The sequence below is a fragment of the Homo sapiens genome, chromosome 8 (genome assembly GCF_000001405.40).
Source record: "Homo sapiens chromosome 8, GRCh38.p14 Primary Assembly".
Classification (NCBI taxonomy): domain Eukaryota; kingdom Metazoa; phylum Chordata; class Mammalia; order Primates; family Hominidae; genus Homo; species Homo sapiens.
Window position 1 is genome coordinate 96004180 of NC_000008.11, and position 15532 is coordinate 96019711.

At 42.1% G+C, this 15532-nt stretch overlaps 1 long non-coding RNA gene across 1 annotated transcript in view; it reads left to right on the forward strand.

The window, feature by feature from the left end:
• The first annotated feature begins 281 nt into the window (after positions 1–281).
• Positions 282–15532, forward strand: part of LOC124901983 (uncharacterized) — a 28625-nt gene continuing 13374 nt past the window's right edge. Inside the window, exons 1-2 of the long non-coding RNA XR_007061016.1 lie at positions 282–666; positions 14735–14898. This is a non-coding gene — a long non-coding RNA (uncharacterized LOC124901983). The remainder of the gene's footprint in view (positions 667–14734; positions 14899–15532) is intronic.

The window sequence follows — 15532 nt, forward strand, 5'->3', positions numbered from 1 at the left end:
TCCCAAGTCCTTTTTTAATTTTTTTTTCTCTCTGAACAAGAGTTGTTTTAGTTAAACTTGCATTCGCTTTTCTCTGAACGCTGCCCCCGCTCTCCTCGGACCATTGTGTTTAGTACAGGACTTTTGACTTAGCCATCATTACTCACACTTTACTGATTTTACTTTAAACACTGTTGGCTAAAACGACAATTTATCAAGACTGTTTTGCCTAGCAGTTGGGGATAATTTATTTTCCCGTTGAAGGGTTTGATATTTATTAGCGCGGCAGCGGGCCGGTCAGCAGAGATCCACACTCCAGGGGACAGGCTCTGAGACCAGCTTCATGGCCTCTGCTCCGCCCTCTCCCGCTCCCACGCTCCTAAGGCAATTCCGAGCTGGTGCCTGAGGATGCTGAGGGGAGAGACAACTGTGGGGCTCTTTCTTTTGGGAAAGGGAAGCTCAGGGTGTTCTGCTTCCCTCCGCTAGGAAGCTGGACCCACAGCTGTGAAGATGCATAGCCAGCAATCCCAGGGGGAGAGGTGAGCCCCCAAATCCTCTCCTCATCGGTAGATTCTCCGAGATCCCTGGTGTGCAGATGAGAACTCATCACAGAAATATGTGTATCTGTACAGAGAACTCGCTCAACTTCAGAAGCCAAACAGCATCTGGTTACAAGAGATTACTCAGGTAAGTTGGGGGCTCTTTGAGAAGTGGAGAATCCCAGACCTCTAATGCCAACGGGAAACACTGCATCTTTGTAGTGCAGTCAGAGTGCCTGGCAAAGGTAGGCTTTTAGTAATAATTTACTGTTGAGGCAAATGAATAACTGAAAGAAAGGAATTTGGGTTTACTGTGTGCCTGGCACGGTACTAGATTTACATACATCATTTTTGTTTCATCCTTCCAATAACCCCAAGGATGAGTATTGGTTTCCAATGGGCTCTGGGAATTTCTGTAAATTGCCTATATTTGACAGCGAATAAGTGGGAGAACCTGGGAACAAACCCAGATCTGTCTGAAACCATGCCCTTCCGATGCTTCATACCACTTCCCTACCAAAGGAAGGCCGTGGAAAGCTGGCCCGGACATACAAATGTGGTGCCTGGAGTTCCCTCCACTGGAGTCATTCCTTCAATTAGGGCATTATCTGTAACAGAAATATGTTATCTAAGTAATCCATTAGCAGTCAGGCCACATTAGCAGGAAGGGATTTTAAATTTTTTGCTTTTCCAGAATAGAAGGAACGGGACATGGCACAGCTAAATTTTGATGTTTCAAGTTCACACACTTGTGGTGTTGAGAGTGTAAGGAGGAACCGACTTAGAAAATGCCGTTGTGTGTGGGTCTGCCATACACAAGAGTGATAGCATATGAAAACACACACCTGCAGGAGGATGAAGGGAAGGAGAAGGTAGATGGGCTTTCATGCCCCCATCACAGCTGATGCACCAAGCTTCAGGTGCTGGGAGATCCGAGGTCTTAGAAGTTTCCAAATATTTGTGGTAGGCCCACTATGTGCTAGGCATTGTGCTGAAACTAAGGTTATAAAACTAGATCAGATAGAGTCCCCGTGCCTGAGGAGTTTATATTTGCCCCTGAGAAGTTGGGGAAATCTGTAGCTTGTCAGGGGAAGGAAAAACTCATGGAAGCAACTTGGGAAAAAAAGAGGAAGCAGGTTAGGAAAGGAGGTGAGGGGAATTGAAGGTGGAATTCAGCTCCTCCCAGGGCTCTGTGGAGGCACCACAGCAGTGGCATCTGCCCAGGCAAAGGTAAAGCCCACCCACTTCAGAGCAGCTTTGTCTTTAGAAAGGAGGCCTCCAGGCTCAGCCAGTCCTCAGAACCTACTGGCTGGTAGAACCTTCTTATTCCCTAGGAGATCACTTGAGGGGATGAAGGATGGGTGAGGGAAAGGGATTGCACTCCCCTTCTTCCCAGCACAGAGGAATTTGACGTTGGCACTAACCCAGAGGGAACTGCCCCTTTGTCTATCAACTCTACTTTCTCCTTTGCTATCCCTACAGAGTAGCCCTTCCTGTGTGCTCTTCACTCACCCACCTCACTCCTCAGCCTGGACTGTGTAACACTGACATAAAGAAATGAGGTGGGGAACATGCCTCCACTGTAGAGTGAACTGCTCAGAAAACAAATTAACTGAGGGCTAGATTCCACTTTGAGAACTTCAGGGGAGGCTTATTTAGGACTTGCAGGGATGGAGGATTGACAGCAGCCTGAAGGACAAGCAACAGATGGTGCCTAAGTTCCACCGCGGTTGCGTCACCATGGAAAGCGGTTGCAACACCCAAATTGACCAGCAGTTCATCAGGGCCCTGGCCCCCAGGCCTCCTGCTGTGGCCAATCAGCTCATTGTTTGAAGGACCCAGTTCATTGTTTTGTTGAGTCCACCATGAAACAAAATTCTTTCCAGAGCCTTGATTAGCCTTATTAGAGCTCATAAAACTTTTTCAGTCTGTCCAAATGTCTCCATTTTCTTCTAGATATTTGTGGTTGGGGGTATCTTTGCTGTCCGTTTTCAATTAGTAAAGAAATGCAGCAAAAGAATAAAAAGAAGAGCAAATTAGAATCTGGACGCATTGCTTCTTAATACCATGTGAAAACTTGTGACAGAGGAAGGGGGTGAGATATAGAAAATACCTTCCTCTTTTTCACATTCCAAGACCAAGTCAACCGCTGGCTTATGGAATGCGTGTCATGCCGTTCCATGACATAATATGAGCCTTTTTATTTTTATCACAAACTGAAAATCTTGCTGATAAATGCCAATATATATTAGGATTCTTCCTATTTCCTGGCCTGTGTGTGGTCATGGGCTGTATGCTATCCATTAATGATAGAACATTGACCTTGGCTGTACTCTAGGTTCACTGAACATTTCCTTAGGGCCCGGCAGAGCACAAGACATTTTTGCCAAAGCTGTCTCTGCAACTCTTCTTCACCCTCTTAATTTAAAAACCCGTGTGTATTTTAACAAAAATATCATCCATCTGTTTCTGATTCATTTACACGTAACTGACCAAATCTCCTCTTCTCAAGGCTATCGTGTCCCACAGGCTCTGCATTGGTGTATAATACCATGTTGAACCTTTCTTCCCTGAATATTAAGAAGCCTTGTTTAGCCAAGAGATTACATGCTCCACTCCCCAGGATTGAAGGGGTGTAGTGGGAGGGTCCAAATTCCAAATCCCTTGGTGCGTCAGTCCACTATGGGCTTGGCAAAATGTCTCCACTCGTCCACAGTGCTGACTTGATTGAGCTGTTATTGCTATGATGTATGAGTGTGAGTGTGTTTGTTTATGAGTGTATGTGTGTGTGCACTGACTGGTGGTGATTAAACATATTTCGTGACATTAACTCAGACTAGGGGTAGGCTTCACTTCTCTGTAGTCAGATCAACTGGCTGACTTAGTGTGAGACTGAATTGAATTCCTCCTATGACTTCCGCTGTGCTGGGTTTTATCCACCTGTCAACCAGGAGCAGAAAAATGAGAAGCAAGGCTTCTCAAAAACAGGAGGAAGAACTCAAGTTCTGGGAGTTCTCCCAGCATTCTTCACTTCAGGCAGCTTTATTCTCAGTTGGGAAGAGGGTATACAGGAGACCACTAGGTCAAGTCCACTCTCAGCATGGACAAGTGAGAGAAATCGTTGCTATTACTTCAGCTGTGTTGGATACTGGCATCATGCCAATCCACCAAGAGCTTCTCCCAAACTGGAAGCCACAAAAAAAGACCTGGGCCACCTAAGGCTGCCCTCACAGCCCAGACAAGAGTTGGCATGTCAAATGATGAATGTTTTTTCTACCTGTTCCACAAGAGCTAGATAGGGCCATCTACATCTAAACTCTATCAAACCCAAAACTTGCTTTTAAAAAAGTTCATTGAAACCTTAGTTATTCAGCATTCTGCTACTTCTGACAATATTCACCATGATGAAATCAATTGCTTCTTCCAATCCAGTTTTCTTTAATAAATCTTATTTTTATAGACTCAGATTAACCTATTTCTTCATTATTTTTATTAAGTTGTGAGCCACATAGAAAATTTAACACAAAGTTACATTTGTGGAGTGACATGAAATATTTGGGCTTACAAGTTGAGTGTGGAAAAAAATGATTTCTCAAAATCAAGCTCAACACTATCTCCTAACTTAGTAAACAGACACTGGGTTAAATAAGGAAAATAAACTTTATTCTGGAAGTACAAGAGGTCTGAGTCTACTTGAATGTTGTGGGATATGTTGCAATTGATCTGTAGTTAATAATAGTTAAAGTACTAAAGTTTGTGAATAATTCACTTTTAAGTAAAACTTAGTGGTAGCTTCAAGGTAAGCCCTATAATAATGCCACTTGAAACCACCACATTCTCTGATATGCTTTACTGAGTTGGAGCGAAAGGGTTCATGTTACTTCAAGGACCCCTAGGATAGTGCATAGGGATGCAATGGGAATGCGTCCTGCATGTGAACATCATCCATCACTCATGTTATGGCAGAAACAGTTGGGAACCTCTACACTCAAGGTCTCAGTACATGTCATAGTTGGAATTGTGAGGCTCTTTCTCACTTTTTAATGTAGAGGGATTTGATTTTTAGCCATTATTATTATATAAAGCAAGCTCACACTCAGAAAAGGATATTTAAGGGTTTTACTGGCCAAAGTGGCATTCCTGTGCAGTGTGATCTTGTAGTAAGGCAGAATTAGGAAACAGTGCTGGCATTAATAAATTCTCCTTCTCTCTCCCTCCCTGCTTCTGTGTGTGTGTGTGTGTGTGTCTGTGTGTGTGTGTGTGTGTGTGTTCATGTGTACAGTTGATTAATTGGTTGGTTGTTTAGTGTAGAAAGTGAGTTACTGGTTCTGTGAACCATGGGCACAGCTGTGTCTAAGATAAGATTAGGAAAAGCATCAGCCACTCTGCAAATGGCACTAGATGGAATGCTAATGAGGCCAACGTCATGACTTCATGTTCAATCTGTGTACTGAGACTACTTAATTTATACTATAGGCATGACCTGTGGGTTCCCTAAACCCCATCTCCATACCAGCCACCAGCCAGTATCTCCTAAATACATGCTATGGTCACAGTCTGGACCAAAAGATCAAATGTGACAATTGTTATGGATCGCTGAGAACCTCGGTTCTCCTCAAACTCCTACTTAGAATCAAAAACACTTACTGCCAAGGATATAAATAATAGCTCCCTGCAGTGGCATTTTAAAACTTTCCAGTCTCTGGATAGCTGTGTAAATCTGCCTTGCAGACTGAGGGTATACAACGCATTCAGATGAGGAAAGAGACCACACAATTTTTCCAGGCCAATGGGCAGGGCCATTTTATCTGTTTTTTCTTCCAGCATGCACTCATCACCTCTGTTCTTTACTACCATCTGACATTGATACAGAGGCTGTGCTTTTAAATTTTGACAAATCTTTACCATAATCCACTGGGCAAAAGAAACCTTGACAGCTGCCATTCCTCCTTTTACCTGCAACCATTAATAAACAAAAATACAGGGTAAGGTTGAGTATGAGTCCCAAATGTCCCAACCAGCTGTTTCAGGTAAATTTTGCCTTTTCTTTCACTTCCCCAGTCTTCCTTCTTATACCTATACTTCACCTTAACTACTACCACTTTCTTCTCTCTCTCATGTTATTGCCAGTTCTAGAGTTTATCAGTCCAAAAGGTTTTAACTGCTAGTAGCAGAAATCCAATTCAAACTAGCTAAAATATCAAGGAATTATATTGGCTAAATAGCTGGAAGTTCAGAGGTAGAGAGGTTATTCTCATGGTCAATTCAGGCCTCCATTTCTCTGTAAGTCTCTGCTCTCTTCCATTAATTTGTTTTATCTAAATCTGACTTCCCTTCTGGCCATAAGATGGCAGCCAACAGCAAGAGGTAGGGAATCACCCGCCTTATTCACATCCTTTGAAAGAAGAAGCTGACTTCTGTTCTACTCTCCTAAGGACAAGGAAGAACTTGCCTGAAGTCTCCAGTAACCCATTCTTAGACCAGAATTGGGTCATATGCCCATTCCTGAAGCATTCACTAACAAGTGGATTAGATTCTTTAGCTGGTTTCAATTAATTGAGTCTTACCACTGAAGTCAGAGATGGGGTAACTTCCCCTAAATCCTACGAACAAAACTGAGATGTCACGGTGAAGAAAGGAGAGAATGGATGCTGGATAGGCCATTGACACTGTCCAACAGATTGGGTATGTGCCCTTTAACTATTTAGATTATACATTGGTATAATCCATGAATAAGAAATAACTAATTTTGAAGCTCCATTCCATTGCCTTTTTGGGTTGTGGAGGCTTCAGAGAGCTTTGTTTGACCTAGGGGGACCACATCTGCTCCTATGGGCTCATTCCCTTCCCATGAGGCAGCAGTTACACAATGAGGTAAAAACCAGGCCTGAAAACTTCTCTAAACTTAGCTCCCTTCCTGGAGAATTGGCCAACTCTACATTCTCATGTCACAAACCATTCAAGCCCCTGCGTGCAAACGCCTCACTCCTAGTATTTCAAAGGGCAGACCATTCCTCAGATGGGGAAGGCAACTGGGCAGGGCACAGGCACATGGCTCACATTTTCCTGCTCACGATATTTTTTCCATTGACTCAAGCCACAGCTGCTTCTTGGAGGGCCATGTTTGCTGATGATGACACAAACTGTTTCCGATCTCTGAAGTACTCATCTTCAGATTGCCCAGTGTGATATAACCTCTTTGGAATCAAACTTCTGTTGCCCTAAATGCCCTTATGATTCTAAAACAAGACCTGGGGTTGCAGAACCATACACTAGCATGTAGACATAGCAGTTTCTTCCAAGCAAAAGAAGAAAGAAACCAAGATTGTTATCACTGATCCCTTGGCATTGGCTGGTCCAGAGTTGCCCTTACCCAACTAATTCATTCCTTATGCTCATATCCTGTAAGATTCCAGAACCTCTCCCACCCTTACCTCATCTACACCCAAGAACCCCTATACAAGCCCAAGTCTATCCTCACAAACTATGACCTAGAAAGCCTTCCTGCCTTGTTCACAGCCCTACCCTGACTGCCCTGATCTATTACTGTAGTCAACACCAGCCCTCCATCCTTTACTCTGCCAAGAAAAAGTATTTCAATGCTACTATTCTTGGATTCCTGAATTTCGCTTGAGCAAATCTAGCTCCAGTTCTGTATTTCAATCTAAAATTCCATTCAGAGTACATTGGTTTGCATAATTGAAAATACCACACAGAGTGGATGTAAATGTGGCTCCATCAATTGCTAACTATGTGAACCTAAGTGCATTACTGTTACTCCTCATCATGTTGTCAACATGCATTTATTAAGGGCCAACTATGTGTCAGACAGTGTGCTAAGCTCTAAGACTAAGCTCCTTCATCTATCAAAAGGAATTAATAAAACATCTCATATGGTTGTTGTAAGAATTAAATGAGATAATACATGTCAAATTCCTGGCACAATGCGAAATGCATGGGAAACATCCATAATTGGTGGCTTGAGTAGCTGTTATAATTACTGAGAAAGCACCTGGTCCATCTGCTTCCCCCTACAATGTGATCCATCTGAGGGCTTCAGGAGTTCCTCAATCCCTTCTTCTGCTTTCATTTCAATCTGTCATGCTTCCCAGATATCTTACAGATATGGATTGGGCAGCTGCTTAAAATGGGTCCACTGGTGATGTCAACACAATCATGTCCCCACACACAGAGCTTGGTGCAGGCGCAGGGCTTAGCCAACCACAGGCTCAAGTCCCAAGTGCCATGTCCCCGGTTTGCCCTGGAGTGTGAGTGTGCTGTGCCTGTGTAAGAAGTGCACATGTCTTTAGCCATAAATGTTGCATGGCTGTTATAAACCATGAGGTCTGGTAATACCAGCAGCAGCTTATCAGGTTTCAAATGTACCACTTTCTTCTAGGTTTCCAGATGCTCTTTATTCATTCTGTCTCTCTCCCCGCCACCACCAACTCTCCTCTCCTTTTCCTCATTCTAAAATGCCCCATATTGTTTACTTTAATCTAACAATTTGTAATTAAGTTGAATATAACTTCAAGAGTGGGGAAAAACCGCTAGAAGTGTCTATTTAAAGGAGAAACAGGAGTGGAAATTTACCACATGCCTCACTGTGCCAGACCATTCATTGGTCACAGGCAGACTAAATGAAGGTGACTCAAGGCTCTTCAACTTAGAGGAAAGAAATGGATGAGAGGATCTGATTTAATATCATTACAAATTTACAACTCATTTTCAACATATTTCTCAGTGTATAAGATCTAGTGCCTTAACAAAAGGAAAGACCTCTATTAAGGGGGCCTGCTTACTAGAAACCACACATGGTCTCTCTACTGCAAGGGAAAATCCCTTCTCCTAAGACAAAGTCTATTTTTGCAAAAACAGCAATGGTTGAAGAGTTACTACTAAGAGAGATAATCTAGGTAAGTGGCTCTTTCTTTCTTGACTTATCTCTTCCTTTGTAAAATGGAAATTAAAACACAGCACCACCTCTGTTCTTTAAAGGACCTCAAGGGGGCTACTGATACTATCTTCCCCTCTAGCCCATCCTGGTGTTTAAGAGACTGTGCTTACTAAGAAAAGTCTTAAGATGATGTCTGTGTTAAGGCAACACGACCCTTGGAAGGAATATCATAGAGAAGTCATCCCACTGGGAAGTTATTCATCCCATTAAGTGATTGCTACTCCATGGCAAAGGGCCAATGAGTGATGAAATCAGACACAGGGCAAGGAAGCCAGGAGCCCGAGCACCTCTGCCTGGAATGGTGATGTCACACTCAGAGTGCCAGCAGACAGAGTTGTGAAGAGCATTATAAGATGCTAGGGGAAGAGCAGCAGACAGGGGAGTTGTGTTAAAAGGATGGGAGGACACGATTTGCAGAATTCCATTGGGCTTTTCTGATTCTTATGACACATGAAAGCCACCCAGGAAGAACTTAAGCCACCAAGTTTGTGGCACTTTGTTACTACAGCCCTGGAAAACTAACACAGATTTTGGTACTGGAAGTGGGGTGGCTTAAAACTACAGAAAAATATTGCCTCACAGTTCTGGAGAATGGAAGTCTGAAATTAAGGTGTCTGGAGGGCCATCCTCTCTCTGAAACATGCATCCTCTTTCTAGCTTCTCATGGTGGCCATCAATCCTTGGCATTTCTTGCAGCTACATCACTCTAATCTCAGCCTCTGTCATCACATAACATTCTCTTTGTGTGTCTTTGTCCAAATTTCTCTCTTCCTGTGAGGATACAAGTCACATTGATTACAGCCCACCCTAATAGCCTCATCTTAGCTTGATTACATCTTCAAAGATCCAAATACTATTTTCAAATAAGGTTATATTCATAGGTCCTGAAAGTTAGGACTTCAACAAATGTTGTTGGTTTTTTGGCAGGGGGACACAATGCAACCTCCAATCAACCCCCCAGTAGACCATGTCATAGGTCCTCAGTTGACTGCAGTTAGTAAGTGGCCATTGAGAGTGTACTTGATTGAACTTCCAAAGACTAATTTGTGAGTGTAAATGCCACATCAGGCAATGAAAATTGATGCTGGACATGGAAGGCCTCCAGGAGTTGGGCAAGTTCCTCTCGATTTACTAACAGCTTTCCAGGCTCTCATGGAAGTTTGGGGAGCTGTAAGAGAAACCAGGGACCTTTGGCTGCTAGTGACATGAAAGTTGTGAAAGTGGTGCAAGGTATCAAATGGTTTCATAGGATGCTGAATACTTTATTCCCAGCAGGCAGTTTGATCTTCTCTGGAACTCAAACCACTGAATTTCCCAAGACACTAGAGAGAAATAATCACAACTTTCTGATGTACAAATCATTCTGGCAATAAATTTTCCAAAGAGCAAAGGATCCAGGATTCTTTTTTGCTGAAGCAAATCTAAGTGATGACACAGAGAAGCACCAGGACATTTGTGTGTCTGTCATGGAAGAGGATTACGTTTCTACATCTTCTGGTTCAAGGTTTTCAGGTGCAATCATTGCTCTCAGTTTGACTATTTCGTCTCCACATACAGGGGGCTATTCAGAGACTCCTTTGGCATCTGGCAACATGGGTTTCATGACCACAAAGTAAAAACGAAATAATGCACATACCAAAACATAAACACATTGTAAAGTGCACTCAGCCTCAGATTCCAAACTCAGCGACCCTGCATGATTTAACAAAGGGGGAAGCCAGACTCCTGTCCCGCGGGGGGAGAAACAAGGCCTCCAAACTGACAGCTACTATCATTCCAAAACAAGTCATTGTTTATAAATGAATATTCTTTGTGATAAATTATTGAATTACATGAAGATTCTATGATTGCCTGCTGCTGCCAGATTTGGTTTTGGTCTCAAAAGCCAGCATGGAATGTACTAGAGACAGACAGCAAAATTAAAAACTGCTGTCCTTTCTCACAAAATTCTCCAAATTCTCAGTCTCCCCCAAACTTGTAATATGAGTTCTAGATTTGGACACCCACAAGACCCTTCAGAACACTTATAACATATATGGTTTTAGATTAGAGACACTTTGGGTCATTCTGAGAAAAACGTAGGCACGAATCACAGCCCATGATTTACTTTATGATAGGTAGTACTCAAAATCGAAAAGTAAAGAGAGCCATGGCTTTTCATAAATATTCACTATGTAGCAGGCATTGTCCTGGCTGCTTTACACAGTTATCTCATTTAATCCTCATAGTATCCCTAAGAGTTCATTATTAGACCCATTTAGCAGGTGAAAACAACTGATGCATGCAAAGGTTACATGATTCGCCTAAGTTCACACAGCAGTAAATTGAGAATGCCAATTGAGAATGGCAGCTGGCATTTGATTCCAAAACTCATACTCTTTCCTCGATAGCACACTTGCTCCCACCACAGCTTAACAGATAACTACATCTGGTACTAGTATTCAAAGAAAAATACTGTGCCATTTTCTAAACTCTTACATTGACTCTTTACATACTATTTTTCAAATAGGCCTATTTTAGAAAAAAAAACACTGAAGATGAAAAAATTATTATCGTTTTTGATTTGTCTTTTCCTTTGGAATAGATTTTTCCTCCTCCTCCTTCTTCTCCTGCTCCTCCTCCTCCTATTTTTCTTCTTCCAAATTAACTGGAAAATGAGTTAATTCCCTTGAAATTAGCAGAAATAAGAAACAACAGCACTGGCTTTTAATCTCAGTTTTGCTCCTCATTCACTCGGTATAAATCTAAATCTCAGCTCCTCTCTTACACAAAGGGGATGACAAAAACCATGTTGCCTATTTCACAGGTTGTTGCAATAATTAAGTGATATAATATCAGGAAAAGCATTTTGTAACCCATTAACCTCAAATTCTGTATATAATTATTGTACCCTAGAATGTTCTCTGATAGTTCAATGAGAAAGAAAAAAAATTTAGGATAATAGTCCAGTGTTAGCCAGTGGTCTGTGGATAAGCAGGATCTCTGATAAAAACAACAACAACAACTGATTTTTAGCAGTTGCCAATTCCCATGGTGTAAATACTCCCAACAAGAAGTTGGTAGCTTTGGTAGTACTATAAGCCAAACGAACTTCTTTTCTTTATATTAGAGTAAATTACCCACCCTCAGATATTCCTTTATAGCAACACAAAACAGACTAAGACATCAACCCAACAAATCTTTCTATTTGCTGCTTTGACCCCTGTCTGAAGAGTGAGTGACTGTCTCATATAAAGCTGGTATGTTGCCCAAGGAAAAAAAAATGTGCTCCAGGGAAATGTCATTACTGCAGTCAGACACTGGGTGCCAAGAACCAGAACTCAATCCACCCACTCTTTCCTTGTTCACAGTGTAACAGTTAACATTTGATTTGGCTACATATAATACAGACACAGTGGCTTAAACAAGATTATTTTTCTCTCTTATAAGAGAAAATGGGAAATGGGTCAACCAGAACCAACCTACATCAAGGACCTAGGCTTCTTTCAGTTGCCCCTTCCACTGTCGTCATGGTCCAAAATGTTTGCTGGCACTTTATCCATACCATACGAGCTCTAGGTACTAGAATGGAAAAAGAAATGAAAATAAAAGCACATTATCTTACTTTTAAGGATGCTTCCTAGAAGTCCCACACAGTACGTTGCTTATATCTTGCTGGCTAGAAACTAATCAGGGGCCATACCTAGCAACATAAGAGGCTTGAAAATATAGCCTTTTATCTTAGGGCAATGTGTCTAGCTTTCTTAGTCCATTTTTGTGTTGCTATAGAGGAATACCTCCTGAGAAGGGGTAATTTACAAAGAAAAGAGGTTTATTTGGCACATAGTTCTGACGTCTGGAAAAGTTCAGGATTGGGCATCTGCATCTGGTGAGGGCCACAGGCTCCTTCCACTCATGGCAGAAGGTGAAGGGGGGCTGGCCTGTGCAGAGATCAAATGGAGAGAGAGAAAGTAGGGGATGGGGGAAGGTACCAGACTTCTTTTAGCAACCAGTTCTCCCAGGAACTAGTAGAGTAAGAAATCACTCACCCCCAATCTCCAGGGAGGGCACTAATCTATTCATGGGGGATCCATCCCCATGACCAAACACCTCCCATTAGGCCCCACCTCTGACACCGGGGATCAAATTTCAACATGAGGTTTGAGGGACAAACCTTCAAACTACAAAACTAGCTATCAGGCTCTTTTATAAGGAGGAAGGGAGAATAGATATTGGGATAAGCAACTAGCTGTCTCTGGTATACGTTTGCTCTTGTTTATACACTAAGTCATCAGACGGTAAAGAAAGGAAGGAAAGAAATGCTTTTTTTTCTTCTACCTGAAGCTCTGCAGTCTCTTCTCCCCATTCATCTACTCTGTGTCACATGAGAAGTTAGCAGTCTACAGATAATTTAAATTGCATGTATACTGAGGGCAAAATAAAGAGGAACTACATTTCTGGGATGTGTGTGCAAAACATATTATAACGTCCTGATCACCATGATCTGGAAGATAGCAATAATGATAGATGATCATTATTAATATTATGGTAGGTAGAAGTAGATGGAAGCTCTTTTCTCTCTAGATGCACTTGTCTAAATGCAGCTATATCAGTTACCCACTTTGATAAAAGTAAGATATAGGCTGGGTGCAGTGGCTCACACCTGTAATCCCAGCACTTTGGGAGGCGGAGGTGGGTGGATCACGAGGTCAGGAGACTGAGACCATCCTGGCTAACACTGTGAAACTCCATCTCTCCTAAAAATACAAAAAATTAGCTGGGCGTGGTGGCGGGCGCCTGTAATCCCAGCTGCTGGGGAGGCTGAGGCAGGAGAATGGTGTGAATCCAGGGGGCGGAGCTTGCAGTGAGCCGAGATCGCGCCACTGCACTCCAGCCTGGGTGACAGAGTGAGATTCCATCTCAAAAAAAAAAAAAAAAAAAGAAGTAAGATATATATCTGACTATAGCTGATACTGACAAAAATGGGGGAGAATCCTCCTACTTTCCAAATATCACCCATCTAGACTTTTTGTGGCATGGAAGTTGGAAATCTGTTTATTATATGAATTCTATTCAGAAAGTCTTGTTTAAGCATGCAAATGCCTGCCTCCAGCCCTATGCCTATATCCTCCATCTCTTCTTCCTATTAGAGCTAGTAAGTAGCTACCCAGTCATCAAGAACATTGGTCCCCACTTCTCAAAGGAAGAAGTCTCAGCCAGCTAAGCAAGGCTCTTCATCTCTATTTTTTCCAAAGTAGCATGTGTGCAGAACCAGAGACACATTAATCCATAGGGAATTTTTCCAGTGACAAATGCAAGAGCAGCACAAACATGCAAACATACATAAAAACATAGACAGGTACCCTGCTGAGACTAAAAGTATTTGTAGATTGTCAAACCACATCCAGGGATGAGTTATATCCTGGCAACTCTATTCCATTTTATACCACAAAAAAGTGCCATTGGACATATTGGGATAAGCAACTAGCTGTCTCTGGTATATGTTTGCTCTTGTTTATATGCTAAGATCACTTCATACAGCCTGGCAGGGCTATGAGTCCTGAGGCAATATCAGCCTCGGGCCACTCACATCTCTTCCCAGACTGAGCATTTCTCACTCTAATCACTGTTGCTCCGTGAAACACTAGCTGGGATGACCCTGTCTGTCAGATCCTTCTGGATGGAGTATTGGAATTTTTTTTGATATTTCTCCTTCAAGTTATTTAGGTACATCACCTCTTGATGTGTTTGAGTCTAAGAAAAACCTATAAGCTTTCCCTGAGAGGGACAGTGGGCTACAAGGAAGCAGGCTGGATTCCTGTTGGAGGATCAAGGGGTACATGGTGTGGATTTTCCAGACGAGGCTGCATAATATGGGCAGCGGAGAGTTTCAGTTCTCACTCAGATAAAGAAGTGAAGTGGAGAAGTTGAGTATAGCTTTTAGCCTTAACTGATCAATAGATAAGAACCTTACCGCCATAAAGAAGGGATTTTGCTTACATTACACACAGAGAGTATCTTTAGACCAGGAAGTAAATACTGCTCAGTTAATACCAAAGAGAGAAAATACAGTGTGTGCCACATAATGGCATTCTGGTCAACAATTGACCCCATATATGACAATGGTCCTTTAGATTAGAATTGAGCTGAAAAATTCTTATTGCCTAGTGACATTGTAGCTATTGTAACATTGTAGCACAATGCATTACTCACACAAATTTATGGTGAGAAAAATAAATCACCATGGATATATTCCTGAAAAGAGTGATACCTTCTCAAGGAGAGCCTCAGGAAGGTCCTTCAGAAGGGATTCCACAGGAAGGCACTGTTGTCACAGGAGATGACAACTCCAGGCATGTTACTCTCCCTGAAGACTTTCCAGTGGGACAAGATGTGGAGGTGGAAGACAATGATACCGATGATCCTGACCCTTTTTTTGCTAAGGTGTGTATTTATGTCTTGGTTTTTAACAAAAAAGTATTAAAAGTAGGAAAAATGTTAAAAACTTTAAAAATAGAAAAAAGCTTATAGAGTATGGATATAAAGAAAGGAAATATTTTGTACAGCTGTACAATGTGATGTGTTTGTGTTTGTTTGTTTGTTTGTTGTTTGTTTGTTTGTTTGAGACCGGGTCTCACTCTGTTGCCCAGGCTGGAGTGCAGTGGTGTGATCTTGGCTCACTGCAACCTCTGCCTCCCGGGTTCAAGTGATTCTCGTGCCTCAGCCTCCCGAGTAGCTGGGACTACAGGTGTGAGCCACCATGCCTAACTAATTTTTGTATTTTTAGTAGAGACGGGTTTTCACCATTATGGTCAGTCTGGTCTCAAACTCCTAACCTCAGGTGATCCACCTGCCTCAGCCTCCCAAATTCTGGGATAACAGGTGTGAGCCACGTGCCCAGCGATGTTTGTGTTTTAAGCAGTTATTACAAAGGGTTAAAAAGTTAAAAAAGTAAAAAGTTTATAAAGTTAAAAAGTCACGGTAAGCTAAGGTTGATTTATTATTGAAGAAAGAAAAACATGTTTTCCTAAATTGAGTGTAGCCTGAGTGTAGCCTAAGTGTACTGTGTTTATAAAAT